The sequence below is a fragment of the Homo sapiens genome, chromosome 6 (assembly GCF_000001405.40).
Source record: "Homo sapiens chromosome 6, GRCh38.p14 Primary Assembly".
Classification (NCBI taxonomy): domain Eukaryota; kingdom Metazoa; phylum Chordata; class Mammalia; order Primates; family Hominidae; genus Homo; species Homo sapiens.
In genome coordinates this window covers 73,790,096-73,817,969 of record NC_000006.12, presented here as the reverse complement: position 1 = coordinate 73,817,969, position 27,874 = coordinate 73,790,096, and the positions used below count along the sequence as shown (strand labels likewise).

Here is a 27,874-nt window from a genome sequence, read left to right as displayed (position 1 = left end):
ATCACTTGACCACTTAGTGATAGGTCCCATCCAAGGTCTTAGCAACCTTTTATTCGTCTGATTTTAGAAACATCAGACCAGTAGGGAGAAGCCATCCCTTTGTTCTCCCATATACTTGAAGAACATTTTCTGTTTTCTTTGGCCACCGTGAGGGAATTACAAGCCTTGGAAAGTTTTATTACACTGCATCCTTCTCTCGCCCTGTTGTACGTGATGTGAGCATCAAAGGATCTGGGCACCAACAACATTTTGTCTGCTTGGAAATAAATATTTTTATAAAATGAATTGATGGCAAGAGCTTTTCATTTAGAGCAGAAGGAGCCCAGCTAAGTGATTATGGAAAGATGTTTGCCTCCAATTTAAAAGAATCATAGCATTAAGTTAGTACCTGTTGTCCTTTTAAATGGCAAAAGAAAGAAGGGCTGTTAGAAAAATCTTGCTTTTTAGAGCAGAAAACCCATGCCTGCCAAACATGACTGATTGAAAAGCCATACAGTACAACTGCTGACTTCAGCTGGCTCTGCAATCCGAAGCAACTGAAACCATCTGCTGGCAATGCACTGAGCCAAAATAGATGTTATTGAGAACTAATAAATGGATTGAAACTGGAGGTGTTTGCATATGAGAAAAAAATATAGATGAGAAAAAAACAGTCAATATGCTTAAACATTTAAAAGCACAATGCAGATTATACTTTCAGTACATATTAAAAGTACCTTGGTTGATCTGATCTCTCTACCAAGCCTGGGGCAGAATTTGTTAAACTATCATGCCACACAGAAAGCCTGGTATGAGGTAAGGTCTTGGACCCTGTTGATAGGAATAAAGTGTCTGAAATATCAAGTAATCTTTTTATAATGTGCTGCTGAAAAAATACACCTAAATGTTATTTGTCCTTCATACCAGATTTTTCTCAGAAAACTAGTAGCAGCATTTAAATCCTTTTTATAAAACCCCTACCCTCACATGAAAACATTTCCCTTCTTCAGGCTCTACCTACCACCCAAACTCTGTTGTCCACCTGATTCCTGATGCTTAAAACTGGAAATCCTGCATCCTTACATGAACCCCTATAAATGCTGAGGCCTCTTCACAGTCTGAATTCTGGTTCCCCACCTCATTTTTCTCATGTTTCTTCACTTGATGTCTCTTAAGAGGTAAAAATCTCCCTCTCTTAACTCCATGAGGGTCTTCTTCTTTGCCCTTTTCAAAATTAGAATTTTAGGCTTGCTTAGGGGATTGTTTCCATTAATTTCTGTATCCCCCTCAAACAGCAAGTTCCACAAGGCAGAGCTTGCATCTTTTTTGGCTTACAATTATATTCCCACGCCTGACACACAGACACCATGCCTGGCACATAGTAGAGACTCAAGCAATACTTGCTGAGGTAATAAATAAATGAATGAGAAAAGCAAGAATAGGTGGGGCACAGTGGCTCATGCCTGTAAGCCCAGCACTTTGGGAGGCCAACGCAGGAGGATCACTTGAGGCCAGGAATTTGAGAAAAGCAGGGATAATAATAACACATACTTTACAGAGTTCCTGTAAGAATTAAATGATATGCATGTAAAAGTGTTTGGTGCCGTGCCTGGCATATAAGTTTGTAATTACTGTAGGTTGTTATTGTTTATAATAATAGTAATAACTTGAAGTTGTTATTCTATAACAGAGACCAATTGGAAGATTCGTAAAAAATAATTGGAGTCCTACTTTTTTCTCAGCTGAAAAGGATGCCAACACAGAGATTCTGATATCCCCTTGCTGCTGGCCCAAAATGCCCAAGAAGGTGAAGAATGGGACAAATGTGGGACATTTTACCCCAAAATCATGAACAAGAAGGTCCAAAGATAAAGACAGACAGTAGCAGTAATGGCGGAGACTGGGTCCAGGCAATAGCTGTGAAGGCTGGCCACCTGGATGAACACCCAGAGATGACCTTGAAGAACATCTGCCAGCTCAGGACCACATCAGGGACTTCTAGCCCAACAATAAGCTAAGTTAAACCAGGACACTATGGGATATTTTAGAAGAGCAAACAGCAGCTCCTCAATGCCAGTGCATCTTTAAGTCCCAGCTCAATACCAAATAATGCAGATGTAAGAGAATAGATTCATGAAAGAAAAAAAAGTGAAGCCTCTATTCAAGAACTTTCACAAGGAGTGTGCTCAAACTCCTGTGTGCAGTGGAATGACCAAAAATCTGCAGCTTCCCAGTCTTACTGTGAAGTCGGTAGGGTTGAGGTAGAACCCTTTTTCCTTATTAACAAGATTCTCAGATGCTTTGGATATAGAACAATTTAAGAGTCAACTTAAAAAGTACTCCCAGAAGCTTCAGCTGTTAAGTGTCTAATTATCCAAGATGAGAAACTCCTAAACTGGAATATTTTCAATGTACCTAAAAAAAAACTATCCTCTTGATTGAATTTGCATGTTATCATAAAGTTTTGGGTTAAATGCCTAACAGTTAAGGTTCAATATGAACCCGAAATAATTATTTCTACAGAAAAATAACTCATAACAAGAAATAACCATTTTTGAAGTATTAAATATGATTGACTTAATTTAAAGTTTTCCTAAATTAGACCTGAGTTTTATTAATTTATATATACACTGTTCTATTCAAATGTGTTATACGTCCAGGGAAAACTTGTAAATAATTTTTGTATGCATCTAATAAATGCTTGAATATAATTAGTAGTATTTCTAGTTTGTAATCTGAAGTGTAGTGCATAACTGAATTCTTTGTTCAATATAACTCTTAGATTGATATAGACAACTATACATAATTAAACCTTCAAGTCTATTTTTTAAAGGAAAAAAAGAAGAGAGACCTAAGCAGACACTTACCTTGTACACACATTCAAATCCACATGATTGAGATCATCTTTATTTTCTTTTACAGCAACATCTAAATCAAAGGCTTCTTGATTTTGGATAGATCTTCGTCTTCTAGAAGACCCAGAAGCCTTCACATTATATACAACATTGAGCTGTAAAAAATAAACTAGCATAAATAACAAGTTGGACATAAATTTCCATCATTTTGCCTTCTAAATACTGTATTAGGTAATGATTCTCTTTGGATGGACCCAGTAAGATTTTTAATCTTCAAACTAGAAAAAAATTAATTTAACTTGCTCACAAAGTATCACTATTAACAAATAGTATTAAAATTTATAAAATTATGTTTAAATGGAGAAAACTGTTAAGTAATATTCCAAAACAAGTACAATAAAACACTATGGGTGATATTTGGGGATACTGGTTTGCCAAAGAGGGCAAACATTCCCTTGAGGAAAAAACTTTCTTGACAGCATTCACTAATTTCTAAGGCCTGTTGCCCAAATGGAGTCATTTTTCTCTAACTAGAACTTCAAAAACTCTCAGTAGGATAAATCAAAACTAAAACATTGAAGAGCCTTAGTTGAACATTGCTGAGGATTATTTTTGTTCATACAATGTTTGTCAAAGATGATAAAATAAATGATAGCTTTCAAGTCAACTGGGTCTTTCTCAGCATCTACTCTGTACCCACCACTGATGTTAAAGGTGCCGTAGACACACTGGGAGAGCCTGAGGACCCGTGTCTTTCTCAAAGGGATCCTAAATCAGAAGCTTAGGAATGTACTCAAAACTTCCTAGTCCAATCTCATCTCCAGATGGACTGGAATCTATTTAAATGTTTTACCTCATCCCCTTTTTTATAACAAGGTTCATAAAGCTTACTGTTGCTTTGTAAGGTTGTGTTTTCTTTTAACTTATACCTAAAACACATACACATATGCACACGTGCACACACATACACACACACCCCTCAGAACTAACATCTAATACCCCTCATGGATTTGCATACTTAAAAAAATCCTCTAAGCCTTCATTTTTCAAATCTAAAAGTTGCAATCTTCTTATTCTGCCACAATCCAAACTGATATAATCCTTCATCCACTCGATCCTTCTGGTTATCTTACTTTGGACATTTGTCAACTCTTTCTTAAAGTATAATGATTAAATTATAGAGTATTCCTGAAGCAGCTGAAGAACAGTCCCATAAAATTGGAGAAATGCTTTCTATTATTTCCATCATTCCCCTTTCGGTGGCATGCAATTGTCCCTTTAGAGACCAATGCTATCAGGAAACAAACAAGGACTACTCTGTCTCTTGGGTCATAATTAATGCCCATCCATAACTAAGTATTAGGGTTTACATTTGGCAATAAAGCTCAACTGCTCACTCAGGGAACTTCAAAAGATCTTGCAGTTTATTTCCAACAGTTTAGTATTTTATTACCCAAAAGAGGGTAATATTTACTGCAAACTCATGAGTTTTCTTTGCCTTCCTTGTTCCAGAGCACTTATAAAAATATCAACTGTAAGAAATCTCAATACCCATTTCTGAGTGACCAACTTCTTTGTAATTTTTTTCCTCCCTCATGAGAGGTGCCTACTAGTCCCTTCCTTTTGTTTTCTGCATTTTGAGACCAACATGGGATTGATGAACATTCTGACCAACAGGTACCACATTTACCCCTGTGTGCTTCAAGCCTCAAGTAAAAAATCACTTGGTTTCACTAATTTCTCTACATTTGGTTTATCAAAAATGAATTCCAACCAACTTGGTGATTTAAGTACATATAATTTTTCAATTTTATCTAGAATACACAGCATATTTACTTCTGGATTTACTCTTGGATTGCAAGACAGCTTGAGAATGAGAATTTTCCCATGGTCTTTGTTAGTAAAGATCGAAATAAATTGTTTACTTTCTCTTTCTGACCTTTTCACTGAATACCATTCCTTTTCATTGTGATCATTTTTCCTTTAGTTTTAAAAAATGTTTACTGTATTCTGAGAATAATGCAAAATAATCTTAGAATTATTTGGAAGTTTCTAAATTATACCTGCTTAGCAAGGTATACCCGCCCTACTCAGCAAGTATACCTGTTCTCTCTACTAGAATGGTTGTTCTGGTTTTTGAAAAAAGTACTTTTTCTCCATAATAGCCATTTTTTTACTTTCTCAGTAAGTGTTTCAGTGTTTTTGTTTGGTCGTTTGTTTCTACCCAAGCACACAACCATTTTTGGTCCTATCACAAATTATCTTTGGGTTCTAATGAGATGATCTTAAAGTCCTCAATATTTTTATGTGCTATTTAGTGTGATGATTATCTTATTCAGTATTTTTCATACTACTTCCATTTTATTGTAGCTCCTGCTGCACTATAAAAATGTAGATTTCTTTATATTTTCTTTCTGTACCAGAGGATTGAGCATAATTATGCTTTAATTGTTATATTTACTATTATATAAGATTTTACATTAAAGGGACACAATTCCTCCCCTCAAGTCAATAATTCTACCATGTTGACTTCTATATTCTCAGATGAATATTAAGAAATTATAAGTAAAACATGTATTTGTTATCAGGAATCATATTGGAGGACATTAACCCTCACTTCAAAAAGCAAATAATCTCCAAGAAATACTTTTCAAACAGAAAATCAATCTATATAATTGCTCTCTACTCATTGGCTGGCAACATCTCTAATACTTTTTATTAAAGACAGTGATATATCTTGCTTAAGTCACAGATGTAAATCATTAGGAATTATATTCAAGTTATCTAAGATTTAATAAAGCCCCAAACCAAATAATTATTATAAAAAGTCATATTTAACTTAAAAAAATAAGCATCGTTACATACCTGACAAATAGCAAATCCAAAACCATTTGCGGAAATATTAACTGCCGTTGGCTGTACCACAGCAAGCTGAATCAAGGTGAAAAAAAGTGAATGAGGCTAATTTTCCATATCTAGATCCTTCCAAGTAGCAAAACAGATCAGTCCTATCCCTCATTAGGAAAAGAAGCAATCACTGACAGCACTAAGAGCTTTGCACTGTCTCACATATCAAAAGCTATGGGTCAAATAGGTAAGCAAGGTGATGAAAGGAAAAGTGCACACTCCCCAAGCTCCCTCACCTCTGCCCATGGGAGGGCACATTAGTGCTACTGACAAGTCTGTCCTCCTGTTGGGGCTGAAGCATAAAAGACAAGAAACTAAAGTCATCTCCCTCCCCTGACCTCCCTTAATCAGGGCCTAATCCCCTGGCTCTCCCAGGAACACAATAACACATTGTCTATGACTGTGCCTAACTTTATTCTTTCTTTTCCTTTATCATCACCACTCTTCATCACTTTCCAGAATTGAAGTTATCACCTTCATCCATTGTACTTAACCTCCCACAAAACTGATCAAGGGAATAAAGTTAAGAACTAGCATATTCTTTTATTCCAGTTAAAGTAAGAATTCTACTACCGGTTCTATCAATTCTCCTAAGAAGACATGTGGAGCAGCTGAAAAGAACATGGTCTTTGGAATGATGAGTTCAAATCCTAGCTCTACTGTTACTAGTAACATGATCTTGAGCAAGTCACTTAACCTCTCTCAGCCTCAGTTTTATCATATGTATGATGGGGATAGATGTACTTACTTCTTAGAGTTACTTTGAGAAGTAAATGCAATAGCATACGTAAAGTAATCTAGCACAGTGCCTATGAAGAATAGAAACTCAACAGGTTTCTATGTTCATTCCTTTCCCAATGTTACAGTGCCCGTGTTTTCTCCTGTTCCACCAATCTTTCCAAAGTTCCCCACCCTTCCAGAGCTCAGCAAATTCAGCCAAAGAAGGGCACCACTTCTCCCTATTACTCTACAGAGCTCTGGAAACAAGTCTTTGTTGAAATCAACAGATTACAAATAAAGCAGTATTCCAGCATAAAGAATTGTCTACACTGATTTTTAAATAACTGCCCCTTGCCCACACCTCTGCTGTCTGAAGGAGTAAGCGGTTGTGTGTGTCAATCAGAAACTTTACAGGACTTGGTGAGCTAGGCCCCGTCACGGTCACTTGGATATTTGTCCTTTCTGTATTCATTAGGGCTGCAAATTCAGACAGAGCCTTTAAAGCCACAGTGGTATCCTGTTGAGGGAAGAAAAACATTTGTACATATAAGTATATATCAAGGTCTTCAAAGAGTAAATTTAGTAGTATTTTGTTGCTGGATATTCATACACCTTCCTTCAGAGTGGAATGCTCCCTGATTCATATTTGAATGTCCTTGGCCTAGAGTACAGGAGAGGCTCAGAAAATGTTTGCTGAAATGTTTTATAGTTTTTAGTGTATAGATCTTATTGATTTTTGTCAGATTAATCCCTAAACAGTTCACATGTTATGCTATTTTGATTTGCATTTCCATTGCTTATATATAGATACAATGGATTTCTGTACAATGATTTTTTTATACCACAATGTTACTAAATTCACTTGTTAATCCTAGTAGCATTTCTGTAGATCCCACTGAATTTTGCTCATAAATGATCATATTATCAGTAAATTAAAAGTTTCAGTTTTTCCTTTCCAAAAAGAAGAAAAGAAAATAGAAAATATTTGCTATATGGAACTGAACATCTACTCTTATATCAGTTACCACAGATGAAAAGTGGCAGATGGGGAACTGATTTATTCCATATAAATATCAGACATGAAATTCATAGTAATGAGGAGAAAAAAATTAAAATTAATCAATTTAGCCTTTTGCTTAAGTTACTAAACTTTGAAACTGCCAAGTAATTTTATGAAATCAAGGAAAAAATGCAACCACATACTTTTAAAAATATTTTTTATATATAACATATGATTTATATAATATATACTATATATTATATATAAAATATATATAATAAATAAATCTATATTATATATTATAGTTTAAAGGGAAAAAACTATCATCTCTCACCTGAGTAGATGCAAAACCACCCAAGCTATTTCTTTGCCTGCTTAGCCACCTCATAATTGGGATTCCCTCAGAAGTCTGAAATTGTAAGAAGTGTGAGAGCAGTGCATAGGCTGCAACTTCAATATCCAGGGAGCGTGGCTGCCAGGAGTCAGAAAGTTTGGACTCTGATGACACCCAGAATTGCATGCCACCTGCAAGAGAAAAGTAATAACATTCTGATCAATTATCCAGAAAAATTACATTTTATACCATTAAATATTCCTACTCTGGTCCAAGTTGTACTTAACTAGCATAAAAAATATATACTTGTATACATGTATTTATTTATGCCAGACATGTATTTATTTATCACAAACACACACACACATACATATGTATACATGTGCCTATATGTTGCTTTTTTAAACTATTACAAGTTAAGTATATCTTATCCAAAAAGCTTGGGGCCAGAAGTGTGTCCAATTTCTGTTTTGTTTGAATTTTTGGAATATTTACAGCATACATACATTCCAAAATCTGAAATGCTCAAAAATCTGAAACTTTTTGAGCACTGACATGATACTCAAAGGAAATGCTCATTGGAGCATTTTGGATTTCAGATTTTTGGATTAGGGATGCTCAACCTATATACTTGTAAATTTTCATCCTTTTCCCATTGCCTACATTTGAGGATGTTTTGATGAAAATAGTTTTCCTATGAGAAATTCCCTATATTTGGCTCAAGACTAAATAGCTATAAATAAAAGGAAAAAATAATATATTTCAGAAGATAATGCACGTTACTTATCTGACCAGGCCATCCCCAAAATATTTTAAGACACATTGAAAAGAATCCTATTCTGGGAATCTGCCATTAACTAGCTCTAATATTCTGGACTCTCCCATTTTCATTATCTGAAGGTTGGTGTTAACAGTTTGAGGTTCAAGCCCCCAGGAAAAAAAATTAGGATCCCCAGCTAACTCAACAACCTTCCTAGAGATAATTCTGCTCTAGTCCCCAGAGGACCATCCTACTTGGTGCCCTCTCTCAAATATTACTATTTAGATGATGACTACACTTAGGTGGAATATTAAATAACTACCACTTAGCCAAGCAGACAAGAAGAAAAAATGTCAAAGACTGCTTCAGCCTCTAAGCAATAATCTTCTAGTCCCCAGCTTTGGAATAGGTAACAAGGATTCAATCTAAGTTACTGTTAATACAATATTTTTTACAGTCTCAGAAGCCTCTAAACACTTTCTACAATTATCCCTTCTTGAATTAACAGAAATTTGAATCACTGGACATTATCTTATTTCTGCCCACCCACTTCCATCTCTCTCTTTCTTACACACACACACACACACACACACACACACACACACACACCTGGATCCCTGTCCACTTTGTATATAAAATACACATAATCCACTTACTAGCAGCATTTTTTGGTATTCACATTTCTTTTAATTAGCATTTTAGTTCCTATTTTTGAGCATTTGCTATGCAGCAGCATTGCACATTATCTCATTTAATCCTCACAGCCACTCTAAAATAGGTGCCATTTCCACTTTACAGTTGGGAAAACTGAACCTCATAAAGGTAAGTTGCAGAACCAGGATTTAACCTGTCTCTCCAGAACCCAAGGTCTTAGCAAACTACAAGGCTGCCAAACCAGAAATGGTATCAGACACTCAAAGGGTAACTGACATAGGGCATCACATATCTAAAATAAAGAGACATCTGAGCCCTGAAATTCTGTTAAAAAAACCCTGGGGAGACCAGAAGCATTGTGGCCATGTCAGGCCCATCCTGATCTCATTATGTGTTTTACTTTTCACCAAAAGATGCAGATGTAATCAATTTCAAACCTGGCTAAAAATTTTTCTCATGTAAGTTATATATTTCATAAAGCATAACAACCTCAAGTGGGCCCAGCACATTACCTTCTTGTTCTGCTCTCCAAGTCAGCATATTCAAAGCTTCCTTCGCTTTAGGACTCCCCACTGATGACAATGCATAAGTTATAAGGGCTAGAGTATAATTGTCTGAAATTCCTCTACTGAATTCAGACTCCAAAAAATGGATAGACTCTTGCACATCAATGTTAGGCTTGGAAGAAAAAAAGTATGTTTTTTACTATTCAGAGTAACCCATTACCACATACTGAAACAAAAAGTACTTTGAAACATGCATTTAAAAAATAAGTTCAGTGTCTATGAAGTACCTGACCTTGTACTAGGCAATGAAAATCAACCATGATCATTGACATTTAAAGATTTGCCATGCATTTTGAAAATAATACTGTTTTTCAGTTTTTATAAGTAAACAGGTGTCATTCCCTAGAAGAAAAAAGTAGAGCTTTTGCCAGTGTTTCTCCCACTCAGTATCACAGACTCAGATAAGAACAGCAAACTGCTTGAGAAATATATTTCTTATATTTGATCTCTGGTAGTGCGGCCCTAAGTTCAGGAAAAGTTTAGCTTCTACATGCCTACTAGTAGAATAGGAAAATAGTGGGGGTCCTAATAAAGAGAATGACTTTGGTGATCTCATAAAATGCAGCAGGCAGTAAGCAGTAAAGGCATCAATCACCAGGACAGCTCTGGAGCAAACTTAAGCTCGTCAGCATACCTTTCCACGCATACTCATTCTCATCCAGGCATCCATGCCCATTCAACACACTTTTCAGGGTATGGGTGTTCTCAGCACTAAATTAACAGATATTGTAACTGTTCCATGATGTTTTATAAGTAAAAAATCCTTTGCAATCTAAACTTGCTAGAACACATTGTCAAATTTTAAATAATTTTCTTTCCCCTCAGAAATTAACTTTTTCAATGATAAAACATGTATTGACTTATCTTACCAATAGCAAGTACAATACATACATTAAAAAGCATTTTTAGAATTCTCTTAGTTATTCTGAAAGAGTGGGTTAATGTTTTATTCTCAGATTTTGGAACATGGCCACAAATGCAAAGCAAAAGAGTACTCAAATTCAGATTTCACATGTGTTGTAAAGCTGCAACTTGTTAAGTTTCCACACACATATTTGACCCATTAAGACCTACCTTCCTTGAATTTCCCATCTATCATTTATTAAATTAAATACGAAATACCTGATACTTTCTATATCCCAGGAGAGAAGTTACAATATAGGCTGTAAGTGTTACTGGACTTTTATTGCCACCTTGAAGCTCACTATGAATCACTCTTCCTGGATCCCAAAATTCACCGTTGGATTTCTGATGTCCTTTAAGCCAAGTGTATGTTCTGTGTAACACATTCTGATCAATATCTATGTAAGGATCGGCTTCAAGGAAACATCTTAAAACAAAAGCTGACAACCTTTATGAAAAGAGAAAAAAATTACATAAAATACACTTTATAAGGTCCACCAAATAACACCGAGCAAGCAAAACAACAACACTTTTTCCCCCATCAGAAGATTCATCAAAGGGGGAATCACTGAAGATGGAACAAGGAAAGAAAAAAATCAAAAAAGAAAGAGCAAAGGGACAAGGTAAGCAACTCTCTCTAGCAGGCAGAACTGGTTTCCACTTGGGCTTGGCCAAGAAATTCCATGTTGACTCAAAAATCTCAGATTTGAAAAGGAATTTAGAAATGATCTAATCCAGCTCCATTTTTTAATTTAATTTTATTTTATTTTATTTTTATTTATTATACTTTAAGTTCTAGGGTACATGTGCACAACGTGCAGGTTTGTTACATATGTGTACATGTGCCATGTTGGTGTGCTGCACCCATTAACGCGTCATTTACATTAGGTATGTCTCCTAATGCTATCCCTCCCCCATCCCCCCACCCCACAACAGGTCCCGGTGTGTAATGTTCCCCTTCCTGTGTCCAAGTGTTCTCATTGTTCAATTTCCACCTATGAGTGAGAACATGTGGTGTTTGGTTTTTTGTCCTTGCGATAGTTTGCTGAGAATGATGGTTTCCAGCTTCATCCATGTCCCTACAAAGGACATGAACTCATCCTTTTTTATGGCTGCATAGTATTCCATGGTGTATATGTGCCACATTTTCTTAATCCAGTCTATCATTGATGGACATTTGGGCTGGTTCCAAGTCTTTGCTATTGTGAATAGTGCCGCAATAAACATACGTGTGCATGTGTCTTTATAGCAGCATGATTTATAATCCTTTGGGTATATACCCAGTAATGGGATGGCTGGGTGTGGGGAAAAGAAAGAGAGATCAGATTGTTGCTGTGTCTGTGTAGAAAGAAGTAGACATAGGAGACTCCATTTTGTTCTGTACTAAGAAAAATTCTTCTGCCTTGAGATGCTGTTAATCTGTAACCTTACCCCCAACCCCGTGCCCTCTGAAACATGTGCTGTGTCAACTCAGGGTTAAATGGATTAAGGGCTGTGTAAGATGTGCCTTGTTAAACAGATGCTTGAAGGCAGCATGCTCGTTAAGAGTCATCACCACTCCCTAATCTCAAGTACCCAGGGACACAAACACTGCGGAAGGCTGCAGGGACCTCTGCCTAGGAAAGCCAGGTATTGTCCAAGGTTTCTCCCCATGTGATAGTCTGAAATGTGGCCTCGTGGGAAGGGAAAGACCTGACCGTCCCCCAGCCCAACACCCGTAAAGGGTCTGTGCTGAGGAGGATTAGTATAAGCAGAAGGAACACCTCTTTGCAGTTGAGATAAGAGGAAGGCATCTGTCTCCTGCCCGTCCCTGGGCAATGGAATGTCTCGGTATAAAATCCGATTGTATGTTCCATCTACTGAGATAGGGGAAACCTGCCTTAGGGCTGGAGGTGGGACATGCGGGCAGCAATACTGCTCTTTAAGGCATTGAGATGTTTATGTGTATGCATATCTAAAGCACAGCACTTAATTCTTTAACCCTGAGTTGACACAGCACATGTTTCAGAGAGCTCAGGGTTGGGGGTAAGGTTACAGATTAACAGCATCTCAAGGCAGAAGAATTTTTCTTAGTACAGAACAAAATGGAGTCTCCTATGTCTACTTCTTTCTACACAGACACGGTAACAATCTGATCTCTCTTTCTTTTCCCCACAGCTGGGTCAAATGGTATTTCTAGTTCTAGATCCTTGAGGAATCACCACACTGTCTTCCACAATGGTTGAACTAGTTTATGGTCCCACCAACAGTGTAAAAGTATTCCTATCTCTCCACAACTTCTCCAGCACCTGTTGTTTCCTGCCTTTATAATGATCGCCATTCTAACTGGTGTGAGATGGTATCTCATTGTGGTTTTGATTTACATTTCTCTGATGGCCAGTGATGATGAGCATTTTTTAATGTGTCTGTTGAATCCAGCTCCATTATTTTGTAGACTGAGAATCTGACAGTCCAAGAGAGTTAAATAAATTGTCCAAGGTTATTCATCTTTGGACTGTTCTAGATATTTACCAAAGAAGAGCTCCAACACGCTTCAGTCAGCCCCAAAGCTGTGGGTGAAGAATGCATACATAGTTCACAAGCAAACTGTAGTACTTCAGGTGGGGAAAATGATATTTTTCTCTCCTATAGAATGGGAGTTAGCCAACTGCAGCCTGTGGGCCAAATCTGCCTGGCCCAAATCTGGCCCTCAAGCCAAATACAGCCCAGGGCCTGTTTATGTGTGCACCAACCCAGCCCCCACCTGCCAACACCACCACCTAAGAGCGGGTTTTAAAAGAAGGAAAAGAAAAAGACAAAGACAGGAAAGAAAGAGGGAGGAGAGGGAGGAAGAGGGAAGAGCATGCAACGGAGACTCTACGTGGCCCAAAATGCCTGAAATACTTACAATCTGACCCTTTACAGAAAAGTTTGCCAGTCCCTGCTACAAAACACTATACTGAGGTAAAAAGAACATCAAGCAATACAACACTGAAAGCTTTCTATTTATGGTTCTATATCCTGAGTCAGGCCAAGGCCAAGAGAAAATTTGAAGCAGATCTGTTTCATGTTATATAAAGTTTCATGTGGTAAACATTACTGATATTCAATAATATACAGTTCTCTTTTACTTTGGTTACACAGAGGAATTCACTTTCCTGCCCCAGTGAGGTTAGGCATAGCCATGTGACCAGCTCTGAGAAGGATAAAATGAGTAGAAATGATACACTCAGGATGAAGTCTCTAATTGCCAGTGCTATAGACTCCAGCCTCCTCTTTCCGGGCTGTGGCAAACCTGGAGCCTCCTTTTGGAGACGTGGACACGTTGGCAGCTGCAGAGCCCCCTGCTGACCACAATGGAAAGGCAGCATGAACAAGAAATCCCTTCATTGTTAATTGCTTAGATTGAGTAGGTTGGTTGTTACCACAGCACTCCTAGTCTATCCTGATTGATACAGTGAGTCAATCTTTTTCTGAGTAAAATAGGAAATTGAAGATAAGTACAAGAAGAGAGATTAATCATCCAAAATCAGCCACATAGAGATTCCAGTCTGGAGGAAACTGGCTGTTCATACTTAATTCCATCAGTGTTTGTTTTTTACACACACACACACACACACACAAACTTAAACTACATTGACCGCAGTAACACAACACTTGTATTAGTCATGGAAGATTAAGAAAAAAGCTGTGTCACAATCACCCGGCATTTCTAACTGATTTTATCAGCTGCACCATCATCATAAAGTATTTTTATTTCTGTTTCTTCCACACACACACACACACAAAAAAGAGGATTTATAACTTATCTTTTCTAAATAAAAACATTTGATTTGTTAATGTTTGAAAATAATACTTTAAAAAGAAAATCTCTTTTTAAAGCCAGACTAAGGAAAAAGCAACCTCCCAGTCTATAATATATAGAGATATATCTGTCAATTTCGTGGCTATTGTGACCTAGTGAAAGCCCATTCCATGACACGGATTTGTTCAGTTGGCAAAAACACTTACCAAGTGCTCCCAGAAGGGTCATAATTCCCAAAAGCACTGAAAGAGCCATCTTCCCTCTGATAGAGAAGTTCTCTCTGGTAACCTAGACACAAAAATAGACAGATAGTCAAAGTAATCATTAACTTGCAATGGATGAAAGTTTCTAATTATGACTTCATATTGAGGAAATATGGGCAGAGAGGGGGAAAGAAGAAATCAAACCAAGAGCTAATATTGAGTACTTTCTATTTTAAGTGCTGTTGGAAATTTAAAATGCCAGGACTTTTCAAGCAGAATGCATAAAATAAAAACTGTGATATCCCAGCCGGGTGCAGTGGCTCACACCTATAATCCCAGCGCTTTGGGAGGCCGAAGCAGGTGGATTGCCTGAAGTCAGGACTTCGAGACCAGCTTGACCAACATGGTGAAACCCCATCTCTATTAAAAATACAAAAAGTAGCCGGGCATGGTGGCACATGCCTGTAATCCCAGCTACTCGGGAGGCTGAGGCAGGAGAATCGCTTGAACCCAGGAAGCAGAGGTTGCAGTGAGCCGAGATTTGCGTCATTGCACTCCAGCCTAGGCAACAAGAGCAAATAAAATTCCATCTCAAAAAAAAAAAAAAAAGCCTGTGATATCCCAAATTAAAGTAAATTAAAAGATCACTATGGCATAGATGATGCTTCTAGCCATTCAAAAGCAAGCAAATTAAAGGCAGACTTTTATTTAACTGTCTAGTGTTCATCAAAATTGTTTCAATGCTTAGTCATCTAGCACTGTTTGCTACAGAAGAAAAATACTATGTAGGGTATCATTAATTTAAGTTTAAGGCCAAAGTAGAAAATAAAAGTATTTTCTATTCTTAGACCAGCAATACAGAGGAGGAAATGCAAAATAATCTAAAACGGTGGCTCTTAAATTTTGGGGCCATGGCCAACTGAGGTAAACCAAAAAACCAACTTGCCTGCCTACCCACCAATTCCATGTTTCCACTAAAAAAAAAAAAAAAAAAAAAAATATATATATATATATACACACACACACACACACACACACACACACACATATACACATGCTCAGTGGTGGCAATGAAGTATCATTACAGAAGTAAATTAGGTAGGGGGTTAAGGCTCACGTATCTGCATTAATAAAAGCAAATGTGTCATATTTGCAAATAGTTACAAATAAATGATTGCAAATAAAAAGCAGATGTTTCATATTTGCAAAGCAATGCATACAGATCTCAAAGTCCAGTGTGAGAAAACATAGGCCAAACTCTAAAGGATTCACCAAACAACCCACAATAAACTAACTTGCTAAAAATAAAGTTAAGATAGCAATAACTTATCACTAAAAAAGCAACCATTAGCAGGAACATTTCCAGCTCAAGGCATTATCAATGACTCTCTGATAGCCAAAAATCCTTCTAAAAATTACACAATTCCACTATTAGCAGGTAAGGGCACACAGCCTGAGCTTTGCAGCACAGACATGGCAAAGCTTGGCAACCATACTCATTTGTGAAATGTTGAAATCCTTCCCCAGTAAACTGCAGTAATAAACAAATTTGACTTTATAAATACCATATTTTAGAAGCATCCAGAACTATAAGTAAAATTCATATTTGACTAACTAAACATAAGCATTAATGGTTTGAAATTACAGTTAATGTGTTCTCACCTTCAAGTCCCAAACTTCTCCCTGAGTCTTTCCAAAAGAAACCCTAGATTTAAGTATCTGATTTAAGTTACAATAAAACAAAATGCATAAAGAAAAAAAGAAAACAAGATACTCTGTTTCATGGTGATATTTAAGACTTATGGTAAAAGAAATATAAACATTTAAAGTGATGACAAAACTTTGCTTAATTTGAAGAAGGGAACATTAGATTATACCTTTATGTTTCTAATTGAATTATTACGGTGCAGTAATTAGCCAACTTTCATTCAGCACTCATTAGATGTCAGGAACTGTTCAAAGTCCTTTGCAGGATTAACTCAGGTAATTCTCACAAGGACCCTCTGACATAGATGCTATTATTATTCCCTTTTTCACAGATAATGAGACTGAAACTCAGCGGATACAGATACCATGTGCATGGTCACACAGCTAACAGGGAGTGAAGTTGGGCATTAGCCAACTTCTCACTGGCTCCAAGGCCACTGTCTCCTAGTAAATCACAGAGCTCTTCCAATTATTAAACATGATAAAAGAAGAAAAGACTTCAGTAAGTACCTTTTACATGGAAAGCTCTCAACAAACAATAGGCATTACTCTCTAATATAGGTGTAGAGGAAGGCTCTCTAAGCACCAGATGCAATAAAATAAAAAAATTGATGCATTTGACTATTTTTTTAAAGTTTTTAAACTATTCCAAGGCAAAACACACTATAAGCAAGGCTTAACAAATAAATTAAGACCATATTTGCAACATATAAGATGGATAAATAGCTAATATCAATATTATGTAATTTTTATGTATGTTTATATGTTATTACTTACATGTATATACATATATAAAGAACTTTTTAAAAATTAGGGTAAAGGATAAAAAGCCCTATAAAAATAAGTGAATAAAAGGCAAAACAGATAAGTCACAAAAGACAAAAATATAAAAACAAATCTTAATATAGAAAACACATTCAACTTCATAACAGGAGAAACTCAAATTAAACCTACACTGAGATACCATTTCTCTCCCATCAGATTAGCATTAAGATTCAAAAGTCTGACCACTCCTTCTGTTGGGTGAGCTGTATGGAAACCAGCACTGATCCACTGCTAGAGGGAATTCAGAAGGTTACAACTACCATGTAGGGGAATGTCTTTACCCTCTGACCCAGTAATCCCAGTTCTAGGAATCTACCCTGAAGACACACCTCCAACAATACAAAAATATATACGCAGAAGATTATTCATTACAGCATCATCTGTAATTGTAACATAATGGAAACAATCTTAGTGCCCCAAAACTGGAGACTGATTGAATAAACTATGGTACACACACATGACAGAGTACTATGCAGCTGTGAAAAAAAGAATGAGGAATATCTCGGTCAACTGATGCAGAGTAATTTCCTGGATACACTGTTAAGTGAAAAAGGCAAAGTGTAAAATAGTACATATAGATATACTATCTTCTGTGTAATAAAAAGGGGAAATGAGGCGAGGCGCCAAGGTTCACCTATTGCCAAGGTTCAGCACTTTGGGAGGCCAAGGCGAGTGGATCACTTGAGCCTAGGAGTTTGAGACCAGCCTGGGCAATATGACAAAAGCCTGTCTCTACAAAAATACAAAAAAAAAATTAGCATGGTGGCATGTGCCTGTAGTCCCACCTGTTCAGAAGGCTGAAGTGGGAGAATCACCTGAGCCCAGTAAGTCAAGGCTGCAGTGAACCATGATTGTGCCACTGCACTTCAGCCTGGGCAAAGGGAGACACCCTGTCTTTAAAAAAAAAAAAAAAATTGCGGGGGGAAATGAGAAAACATATATGTATACATTTATTTTCGCAAAAGGAGAGAGAGAAAAGATAGTCTAGAAACTAATGAAGTAGGTTACTGGTATATTTGTCCCCACACAAATCTCATGTTCAATTATAATCCTCAATGTTGGAGGTAAGGCCCAGTGGGAGGTGACTGGATCTTGGTGCTGTCCTTGAGATAGTGAGTGAGTTACTGTAAGATCTGGTCATTTAAAAGTGTGTGGCACCTCCCCACAACACTGTCTCTCTTGTCCTTGTTTTCACCATGTGATGTGCCTGTTCCCAGTTCACCTTCTGCCACAACTGTAAGCTTCCTGAGACCTTCCTAGGGGGAAATGCCGGCGCTATGCTTCCTGCACAGCCTGCAGAATCATGAGCCAATTAAACCTCTTTCCTTATAAATTACCCAGACTCGGGTATTTCTTTATAGTAATGCAAGAACCGCCTGATATAGTTACCAATGAGAGGTAGGGAGAAAGAAAAGGGGAAGAAGAGACACTCTTTTGAATATATGTCTCAAAATAAGTTTGTCTTTTGGAAGCATGTTAATGTTCTACATGTTCAAAACATAAACAAAAGTGGAAAAAATTAAATGATAGGCATTATCACTACTCTAGTTCATTTTATCATGTTTTAGTTTTCACATAACCTTTAAAAATGCAGTATATTATCTCATTTTTCAGAGGCAGCCAGGGATCACAGAGAAGCAAAATAATTAATGTTCACAAAAGAAATCAGCAAGAGAGTCCAGGACATTCTCCCTCAATTTTTAATTAAGGACTAAATTCTCCAGATAGCCAGAGTTTAACTATGAATTCAACCTAAGAAAAAAGAGGAAAAGGAAAGAAGAGAGGAGAAGGAGAGGAGAGGGAAGAAGAAAAAAGAAAATAGGTTTGAGGCCCTCAATCCCTACACAAAAGTTTGAGGTACTTTTGTGACAGAAAGACCAACCTCAAGGAGAGGACCATGTGCCTCCACACCCCCAGATCACATCAACAACGGCAGTTCCAAGTATGAGATATTGTGAAACTGGTCAGAGATGAGATCATGGAGATGAGATCAGTGCTTATGGAAATTACCCCTCAGGTGGCTGACCTCCAACATTCCCCATTAATATCAACAACTAGCACCATTCTTCCACTAGAGGCAGCCAGCCCAGAGAAGAGGCCACAGACAATCACCAGTTTTGCAGTGAATTTCTTGAGCAGGCTTAGATAACACCGAGAATCCAAACCACCAGCTCTGCTCCCATGGAAAAGTAAGGGAGAAATTCACAACCTGGAGAGAACTTGTATGTCTCCTTGTGGGAGTGTCCTGTGAGGTTTCCTTCCTCATCTTAAACCAGCATGCATCATTGTGGATCCCTCGACTGTCCTCCAAATCGTCCCAGTGTATCAGGCCTAATTTCCATCCCATAAACAAAACAGGTCCAGGCACAGTGGCTCATGCCTATAATCCCAGCACTTTGGGAGGCCAAGGCGGGTGGATTACCTGAGGACAGGAGTTTGAAACCAGCCTGGCTAATACGGCAAAGTCCCGTCTCTACTAAAAATACAAAAATTAGCCAGGTGTGGTGGCACACACCTGTAGTCCCAGCTACTCGGGAGGCTGAAGCAGGAGAATCGCTTGAACCTGGGAGGCGGAGGTTGCAGTGAGCCAAGATCGTACCACTGTACTCCAGACTGGATGACAGAGCAAGACTCCATCACAAAAAAAAGAAAAAAAAAAAAACAGGACACTGATGACTCGTCTATAATGTTTGTTGTTAATACAACAACTCAGCCTTCCAGTGCAGTCATCTAAGTTGGAGACTCTGCATCACAACAGACGAGAAAAGCAAAAACATAGCTCTCTCCAAAAGTTTATGAAGAAATAAGAGTATCACCTTTAAGTTAATCATTTTAGGAATGGCTCTTGAGTTTGAAAAGTAATCATATGCTCAGAACTTTCATAGACTTCTGAAAATTGAAATGCAGAAGAAGTCCAGAGGCTCTTAAGATAAAAACCCATGAGCCCTTCATAAAGGGCCAGATAAGACACATCCTGTTCTGGGTTATGAATTTTCTTTGGGATAACCATGAATGTAAAATTTCAAAATTTATTATAATAAAGATAAAAATACTGCTCACAAACAATGAAAAAGTAACATTCTAAACATAGTTTGACTTGATTTACCTCGTGTCAAAATTACATGTAAATAAAGGAAGTAAAGTCGGCTATTTGTGACTATTTCAAGAATTTTCTCTGGTAATAAGCTGATAAAAAAAATTCTCTGTATTAAAAGAAATCATTATGAATTTGTTTACTTTCTATGACATGAAATGGAAAGTGAGAACATCACAGTTTTTTAAGCTATGGCCACTAGCCATACTTGTGACCAATGGCAACATCCGAATTCTGAAGCTTTCTTTCTCTTATTTTTATTTCAATGGAGGAAATATAGTGTTTTCAATTAGACTTGGTTTGAGTCTCACTTTAAAAAGTTGAACTGCAGGCACTGTGATTTAAATATCTGAGGAAAACAAATGGTTTAAATCTTCAATTAACAGGTTCTGGATTTCCAGTCCTTATCAAAAACAGTTTTCATGTTATGGTTCCATTTTCCTTTTTGACAGCAAAGACACTTCATTCAATGATGTAGCTGTTGTTTCGACCAACAAAATAATGGGTTAGGTTACAGAACTCCTGGGCCAAGCATGATTTAAGTAAAACAATGCGCTGTTCATAAATGACATTTAAATAATATAATCATGACTCACGCTGAAGCCACTTTAATTTCTTAAAAAATAAAAACAACTACAGTATATTTAAAGGACTTTGGCAAATGTGATGGCAAAAGAAAAAAGAGAGTCTCTGAAATGAGACACTGATTTCATAATGAAAAGCATTATACCAAGAAGCTTTCGTCCACTACTTTGAAATATAATTTAGTTCAGCATGTGAGATGATGTATTTTTGGGGAGCTCCACTGTGCTGACTTTCACCAGCCACTTCACCAGCAAAAAGAGTAGCACATGGAAATCACTGGTCACATTTCTTAGCTGCTAAGAGAATGCCAAGGCCAGGTCGACCCATTAGTGCCCAGAGATCATCATGCTACACTGTGGGGGCGCTTCAGAGATCTTCTGGACCCAATATCCACATTAGGATGATGGACCTAAAGTCCAAAAAAGTTAATATTGGTAATAAGTTATTCGCCCATTCTGGATTTATTGAGATGCCCACATAGCTATACAATGAAGGTCAAACATGGTCCCCACTGTCACAGAGCTCCCCCTCTAAATGCCAGGACAGATGATGGACAGGATAATTTTAAATAATGTTAAGTGAAGAAATAAAATGGAGTAGTACAAATTGGAGTTACTAAGTGGTCAGGGAAGGCCACTCTGAGGCAAACATCAACTGAATGATGAAAAGGAGCAGCCATGGAAAGACCTAGGGAGAAAGCATGCCAGGAGAAGGAAGGGAAAGCATCATGTCCCTGAAGCAGCATGGAGCTCAGAGTGTTCCAGATACAGCCAGCTCCAGATGAGGCTAAGGAGGGAGGCCAAGCCAGATCACCCAGGACCCTGTAGGCTGAAGCCGGGAGCCCACTGCAGGATCATAAGCAAGCAAGTGACAGGATCTTGACATTTTCTAAGATCCCTTTTACATTATATGGAGAATGTACTGAAGGGGAGGGAACACAGAAAAAGACTAGTCAGGAAGCCATTGGAGTAGTCCAGTGAGCAATCATGCTTGAATGGAACAATTAGCAGTGGGATGGAGAGAAATAGAAGAATTTCATACAGGTTTTTAGAGGGAGAATGGACAGGATTTATTCACTGACATTAACCTCTAACTCCCTAGTTAGAGGCAACTAATTCTACTATAGCTGATATTTGTTGTGCACTTACTACGTGTTGAATAAAATGCTGACATATCTCACTGACTCCTCAAAACAACCCTACCACGTGGGTTCTTTTATTCTCACTGACTCCTAAAAACAACCCTACTAAGTGGGTTCTTTTATTATCCCTGTCTTCCAGGTAAAAAAACCAAGCCTTGGAGACACTAAGAACCTGTTCCAAGGTGGGAGCCAGGACTCAAGCCCAGGTGTGACTGCCTCCACAGCCAGTGCTATGCCCCTGATCTACTTCCTCCCAAGGGGAAACTCGCCTACTTACAGCTGTAGCGCTCGGCATTCTTAACACTTGGGAGGACTGCTTGGCATTTAGAGAACGATGCTTTTTTTGCACTCTGGCCACTGTACCTTCTAACAACCAACAGATGTGAGGAGGGATCTCAGGCAATCAGTAGAGACCCTTTCTGGGTTACTTTGAAAAACTACAGTTTGGCCACCTACCTGGCCAGGACTGACCTGAGGGACTAGCACTGCTTTGGGAAAACAACAGATACTGAGGATTTGGACCATTCATTTTGTAGGATGGCTGCTGATCCACAGCAAAAGTATCTAGGACACACACTGAAATTATTTTTAAGGAATGAGTTTTCACTGCTTACATGTTTCAAGCTATGTAAAATTTATGCTTTCTGTTTAAAGCATTAATATTTGATTAGCCAGAGTTACAGTTCATAAAGCATATGTAAATATGGAGTTATATGTGGCATTTTCTGAAATATTTTACCTTATTGTATTAAACTATCCCAAAGAATGTATGCCAAATTATAAAGCACCAGTCTAATTCCTATGTAGTTTCTACTTCAAACCAGAAAAACTAAATCTTGAATACAAATTGGAATCTTGTTTTCAAAAGGTACAACGTTCATTCATGACAATCCCAAATAATTTTTACTTATCTCCTTAATTACAGCCATTATGCCAATGTGTAAAGATCTCATTTGTGTTTAGCATGGCACACAATATACCACAGAGACCACTTGGTACCACTTAAATTTAATTATAATAAAATTTGACAAAGGTTATTCTTGTACGTATATATTTAAAACACGACCAATCCACAAATGTGTATAAACAGGGATAATTTTACATGGGCAACTCTATACAGGAAATTCCAACTGCTGGATCTCTACAAATATCCCAGAGGACCTAACCACCTGGTGCATTTCAGGGCCGGTCATAGTGTCTGCATGGTCTGGCCCTAATCTAAGGGAAAATATACCACTATGTCCTTCCCCACATCAGAACTCAGGCCACACTCAGCCCTGATTCTAAACGCTGGTCTCCCTTGGTTTGTGATCTCATACACTGCATTGTTCCTGACCCGCAACCCCTTGACTCCCATTCAGCCTTTGTCTGTGCCATCCTATCCCAGGGAGATCTTCAGACACTGACTCCAGCTCATCTACTTAAACCCAACACCTTACAGCTTACTTCAGTCTAATCTGACACCCCATATTCTAACCTTTGGTGCCTCCTTCTCTACAGGACCCCATGTTCCTCCCTTAATATTTTATCAAAACCTCCAGTGAGACTTCTTACACGGTGGTGATACTCAAGCATCCCGTCCCGATTCCTGGTCCTTTCCATCATATCCCATTGCTTCTAAAAACCAGAGAACACTGCAAATCAGAATTATCCCATAGTGTTCTGAGGAACAAGGTGGACGGTGGAACCAGACCACCATGGGTAAATTCTTTAACCTCTCTGTGCCTCAATTTCCTCATCTATAAAATGGAAATAATAATAGGACACCTGCTCCTAGAGTTTTTGTGAGAATTAAATGAAACATGCATAAAACATTTAAACAGATTTAGTTGTTATTACTGTCATTACATAGAATTATTTTAGAATAAAAAGGTCTCTACACAATAATGGAACCTGGAAGAAAAGCTCACATTACAATGGCGTCTTTACTGAGTTTTCTAATTCTCCTATGGAGAAATTAGCAATCAATTAATAGCTTGCCCCTACTTTTCATTTAATCCATTTGTTATAAAAAAACAAAAACTAAAAAAATTAGGAGTTGGAAAGCGTTGAACTATATTTCTCTTAGATTATAGTGAATCCTCATTTTTAATCAGTTTGTGTGAACCCTTCTAATCCTCATGAATTTGATGGACGGGATATATCATACAAATTGTGCAGAGAGAAAAACTCAGCCACAGAGAGTTTGTGCTAGAGGTCCACTAATAAGGAAATACAAAACTGAGACTGTAACTTTGGTAAGCTTTTGGAGTATTTCAGAAAATCAAATTTACTTTACTATTAACATCAAACGTGTCTCACATCTCTTTGTTTCCTCCTAGGTATGGATGTCAAGAGCATAGGCTCAGAGTCCAAATCCAAGCTCTGTATGACTATATGACCCTGGGCAAGTTAGCTAACTTTTCTGCACCTCAGCTTCCTCATCTGCAAAAAAACAGGATCATGCTAATACTAATGGTGAGCCTCCAATGAGGTATGAGATGTAAAGTGTTTAGAACACTGCCTGCCACACAGTGCACACTCAACTCATGTTAGCTGCTGTTATTAACAAGTTGCCAAAACAAAGGATCTGGTGCCTGTGAACAGTTTCCACCTTTCAAGGTGTCAAGATACAGTCTTCACTAGCATGACATTTCCTCAGGGTCCAGCAGGTCCTCCTCATCATTTTAAATGCACTGAGAAGGTCCCCACCACACGGCACTGCGTCTGTTTACATACAAACCATCTTCTCCATTGAGCAGCGAATTCTTTAAGAAGAGAGGCCCTGGCTCCCTCTGTTTTCTTGGCACGAAAACTGATCCTGGCACTAAGAAACACTCCACAAATGTGTAATAAAATGAATGAGTATTCCTCTAGATTTTTAAAGAGTTTTAAATTTCAGATCCCTTAGTATAATACAAGCCCTCCCACCAGAAACTAACTCTTAAGCCATTACTAACAAACATCTTAGCAGCAGTGAGTGAATAGTTAGCTAAAGGAAGAATTGTAACAGCTTTCCATTGTTTGCACTTCCTGCACATGTCAACACCGTGTAGCCCATCACTTACCTAAGACAAAATCCATCTATTTTGAAATATGGTCTAGAATGAACCCTACCTGAAAAAAACAAATTTTTTTCTACGAACAAATGTAGGTCTCTAAAATGCTTACCTTGCCTCATAAATGAAAGAGCTTTTTCTTTCAAATTATCTGTCAGTTGTTTCTTTTTAGTCAGATAATCCAAAATGTAAATATTTGGAGCAAAATTTATCATGTTCTGTTCACCACAGCCATAAGGCATCCGAATCAATGAGGCTAAGCCATTGATGGAAGGACCAAGAACATCTCCTGGAAGCACAAGACATGCAGTTCATTCAGTAAATACTCAGTAACAACGACCTGCTGGTGGCAAAGAGACTTCCACTGAGTACAGAAGACCTCTGTCATTGAAGCAATATCATTATTCCACTGCTTGGAACAGAGTTGGAACTTTACACCAAGCTTTTAGGAAGACTGGTCAAAAAAATAACAATGCTCTGGTACTGAACTTGTAGGTCATGTGATGAAAGAGGACATTTTTAGCTCAGTTAAGCATGTGGCATAAATTAGGCAAAAAATAATTTTTTTAAAAATCTTTAAAAAAATGTACAGAATTGATCAGTAAGACACCATCACTCATACAGGAAAGAAACATTTTATTAGTAGTATTCTTCACGCAAACAAAATTTTATTCTTATTTCTTACTAATACACCACAAGAACTTGAGAAATAATTTTTTAAAAAAACAATGAGGATTGTAGTGTTTTCCAATGTGTTCTGTTTAGTAACAACAAATATAAGTATTTCAATTAATCTCAGGATCAAAAGGATTCGGAAAAGGATTCAAAGTTAGTAATCTAAAATTAAACAAAACACATGCTTTAAAAACCCTCTACCCACATCCTAACACCACAACTCAGGGAAAGTAGCAAAAATTCAGAAATATGAAGGCTGAGTTCTAATTTTGGCCCTGCCATTGTTAAGCTGTATAGATAAGAGTATCTTTCTATGTAGTTTATTTTGAAAACTTATACCAAGCCAAGTCCAAATACCTAGTGAAAATGTGATCCTAAAAAATGAATATGAAAAAAAAGGGAAAAGAACCTGTTTCATATGAATAGACTGAAGCTGTGCCAGTATAGCTTAAATTTTAGATGTGAATACAAAGAAAAAAATAGAGGTTATATTATTACCACTGCAGGCTATGTGTTTAATATTCAAAGTGAACATAGACTATCAAAGTTCAAAGAAGCAAGCTAAAATTCGTACATTCTGGGATACAAAATAGGTCTTTAAAACAACATGTAAAAATAAAACTTGAAAATCCGTTCTTTACATCAAGCATAAAAATTAAGCCTCGGGGTATTTCCATGACGACAGACAGAATCGTTCCTGTGTAAGGAGTGATGGTACATATTTAAAAAGCCAGGCTCCTTCCCTCTGTGTATATGTGTGCGTGTGTGTGTGTGTATGTATGTGTAGTGCATGTCCCAGCATCCCAACACTGTGGGAGATGCTTAAGCAGAATTTATTCCCCTAAATAGAGAGCTTATTTAATTCCTTTTAAGAATTGGCCAGGCACAGTGGTGCATGCCTGTAGTCCCAGTTATGCAAGGGGCTGATGCAGGAGGACTACATGAGCTCAGAAGTTCAAGAAGTTCAAGTCCAGCCTGGGGCAAACATAGCTAAACCCTGCCTCTTCCAAAAAAAAATTATATATATATATATATATATATATATATGTATGTGTGTGTGTGTATATATATATATATATATATATATATATATATATATATATGTATGTATGTATATATATGCCTCCAAATAAAGTCCTCTGCCTATGGATTGGTTGTTTGGGTTATAATAAAAAAGCATTACATCTGCCAGTGAAATATAAAAGAACTGTAAAAAAGTGTTTTAGGTCCTAACACCTTAAAGACCTAACAAACTATTAGACGTCATTAATTAAAATGTTTTCTTCAGTTATTTGTAAAGCACAACTATATAAACAAACCATTTGTGAGGGTTAATTTTGTGTGTCAACTTAAGTGAGCCAAGGGGTGCCTAGATTAAGCATTGCTTCTGAGTGTCTGTGAGGGTGTTTCTAGATGACATTAGCATTTGAATTGGTGGACTGGGTCCAGCAGATTGTCCTCCCCAGTGTGTGTGGGCACCATCCAATCCACTGACAGCCTGAATAGACAAAAGCTTGAGGAAGGAGGAATTCACCCTTTTTTTCCTGCCTCACTACTTGAGCTCAGACATCTCATCTCATCTTCTCCTAGGACTGGGATTTACATCATCAGCTCCTCTGCTTCACAGGCCTTTGGACTCAGAGTGAGTACTACCAGCCTTCCTGGGTCTCCAGCTTGCAAAAGCAGATCATGGGACTTCTCAGCCTCCATAATTGCATGAGCCAATTCCTCATAATAAACCTCCTTTTATATGTAAGTATCTCCTATTGGTTCTGTTTCTCTGGAGAACCCTGATTAATAACACCATTTGTGTAGACACTATGTCTAATTAAAAAGTACTTTTAGGCTGGGCGCAATGGCTCATGCCTGTAATCCTGGCACTTTGGGAGGCTGAGGTGGGTGGATCACCTGAGGTGAGGGGTTTGAGACCAGCCTGGCCAACATGGTGAAATCCCGTCTCTAATGAAAATATAAAAAATTAGCCGGGCATGGTGGCACACACCTGTAGTCCCATCTTCATAGGAGGCCAAGGTATAAGAACTGCTTAAACCCAGTAGGCGGTGGTTGCAGTAAACCGAGATCACACCACTGCACTCCAGCCTGGGCTACAGAGAAAGACTCCATCTCAAAAAAAAAAAAAGGAC

At 37.7% G+C, this 27,874-nt stretch overlaps 1 protein-coding gene across 10 annotated transcripts in view; it reads right to left on the bottom strand.

Annotated features, from left to right (window-relative positions):
• Positions 1-27,874, bottom strand: part of CD109 (CD109 molecule) — a 149,122-nt gene that overhangs the window by 10,344 nt on the left and 110,904 nt on the right. For 9 of the 10 annotated variants that reach the window (XM_047418211.1, XM_047418212.1, NM_133493.5 and 6 more), the window contains 8 exons: positions 25,168-25,344; positions 14,669-14,750; positions 10,898-11,126; positions 9,722-9,887; positions 7,796-7,986; positions 6,823-6,978; positions 5,700-5,765; positions 2,847-2,989 (listed from right to left, as the gene is read on the bottom strand). In XM_047418211.1, the coding sequence (XP_047274167.1) occupies positions 2,847-2,989; positions 5,700-5,765; positions 6,823-6,978; positions 7,796-7,986; positions 9,722-9,887; positions 10,898-11,126; positions 14,669-14,750; positions 25,168-25,344 (1,210 nt within the window). The remainder of the gene's footprint in view (positions 1-2,846; positions 2,990-5,699; positions 5,766-6,822; positions 6,979-7,795; positions 7,987-9,721; positions 9,888-10,897; positions 11,127-14,668; positions 14,751-25,167; positions 25,345-27,874) is intronic. The other variant, NM_001159587.3, reaches the window with a different exon arrangement.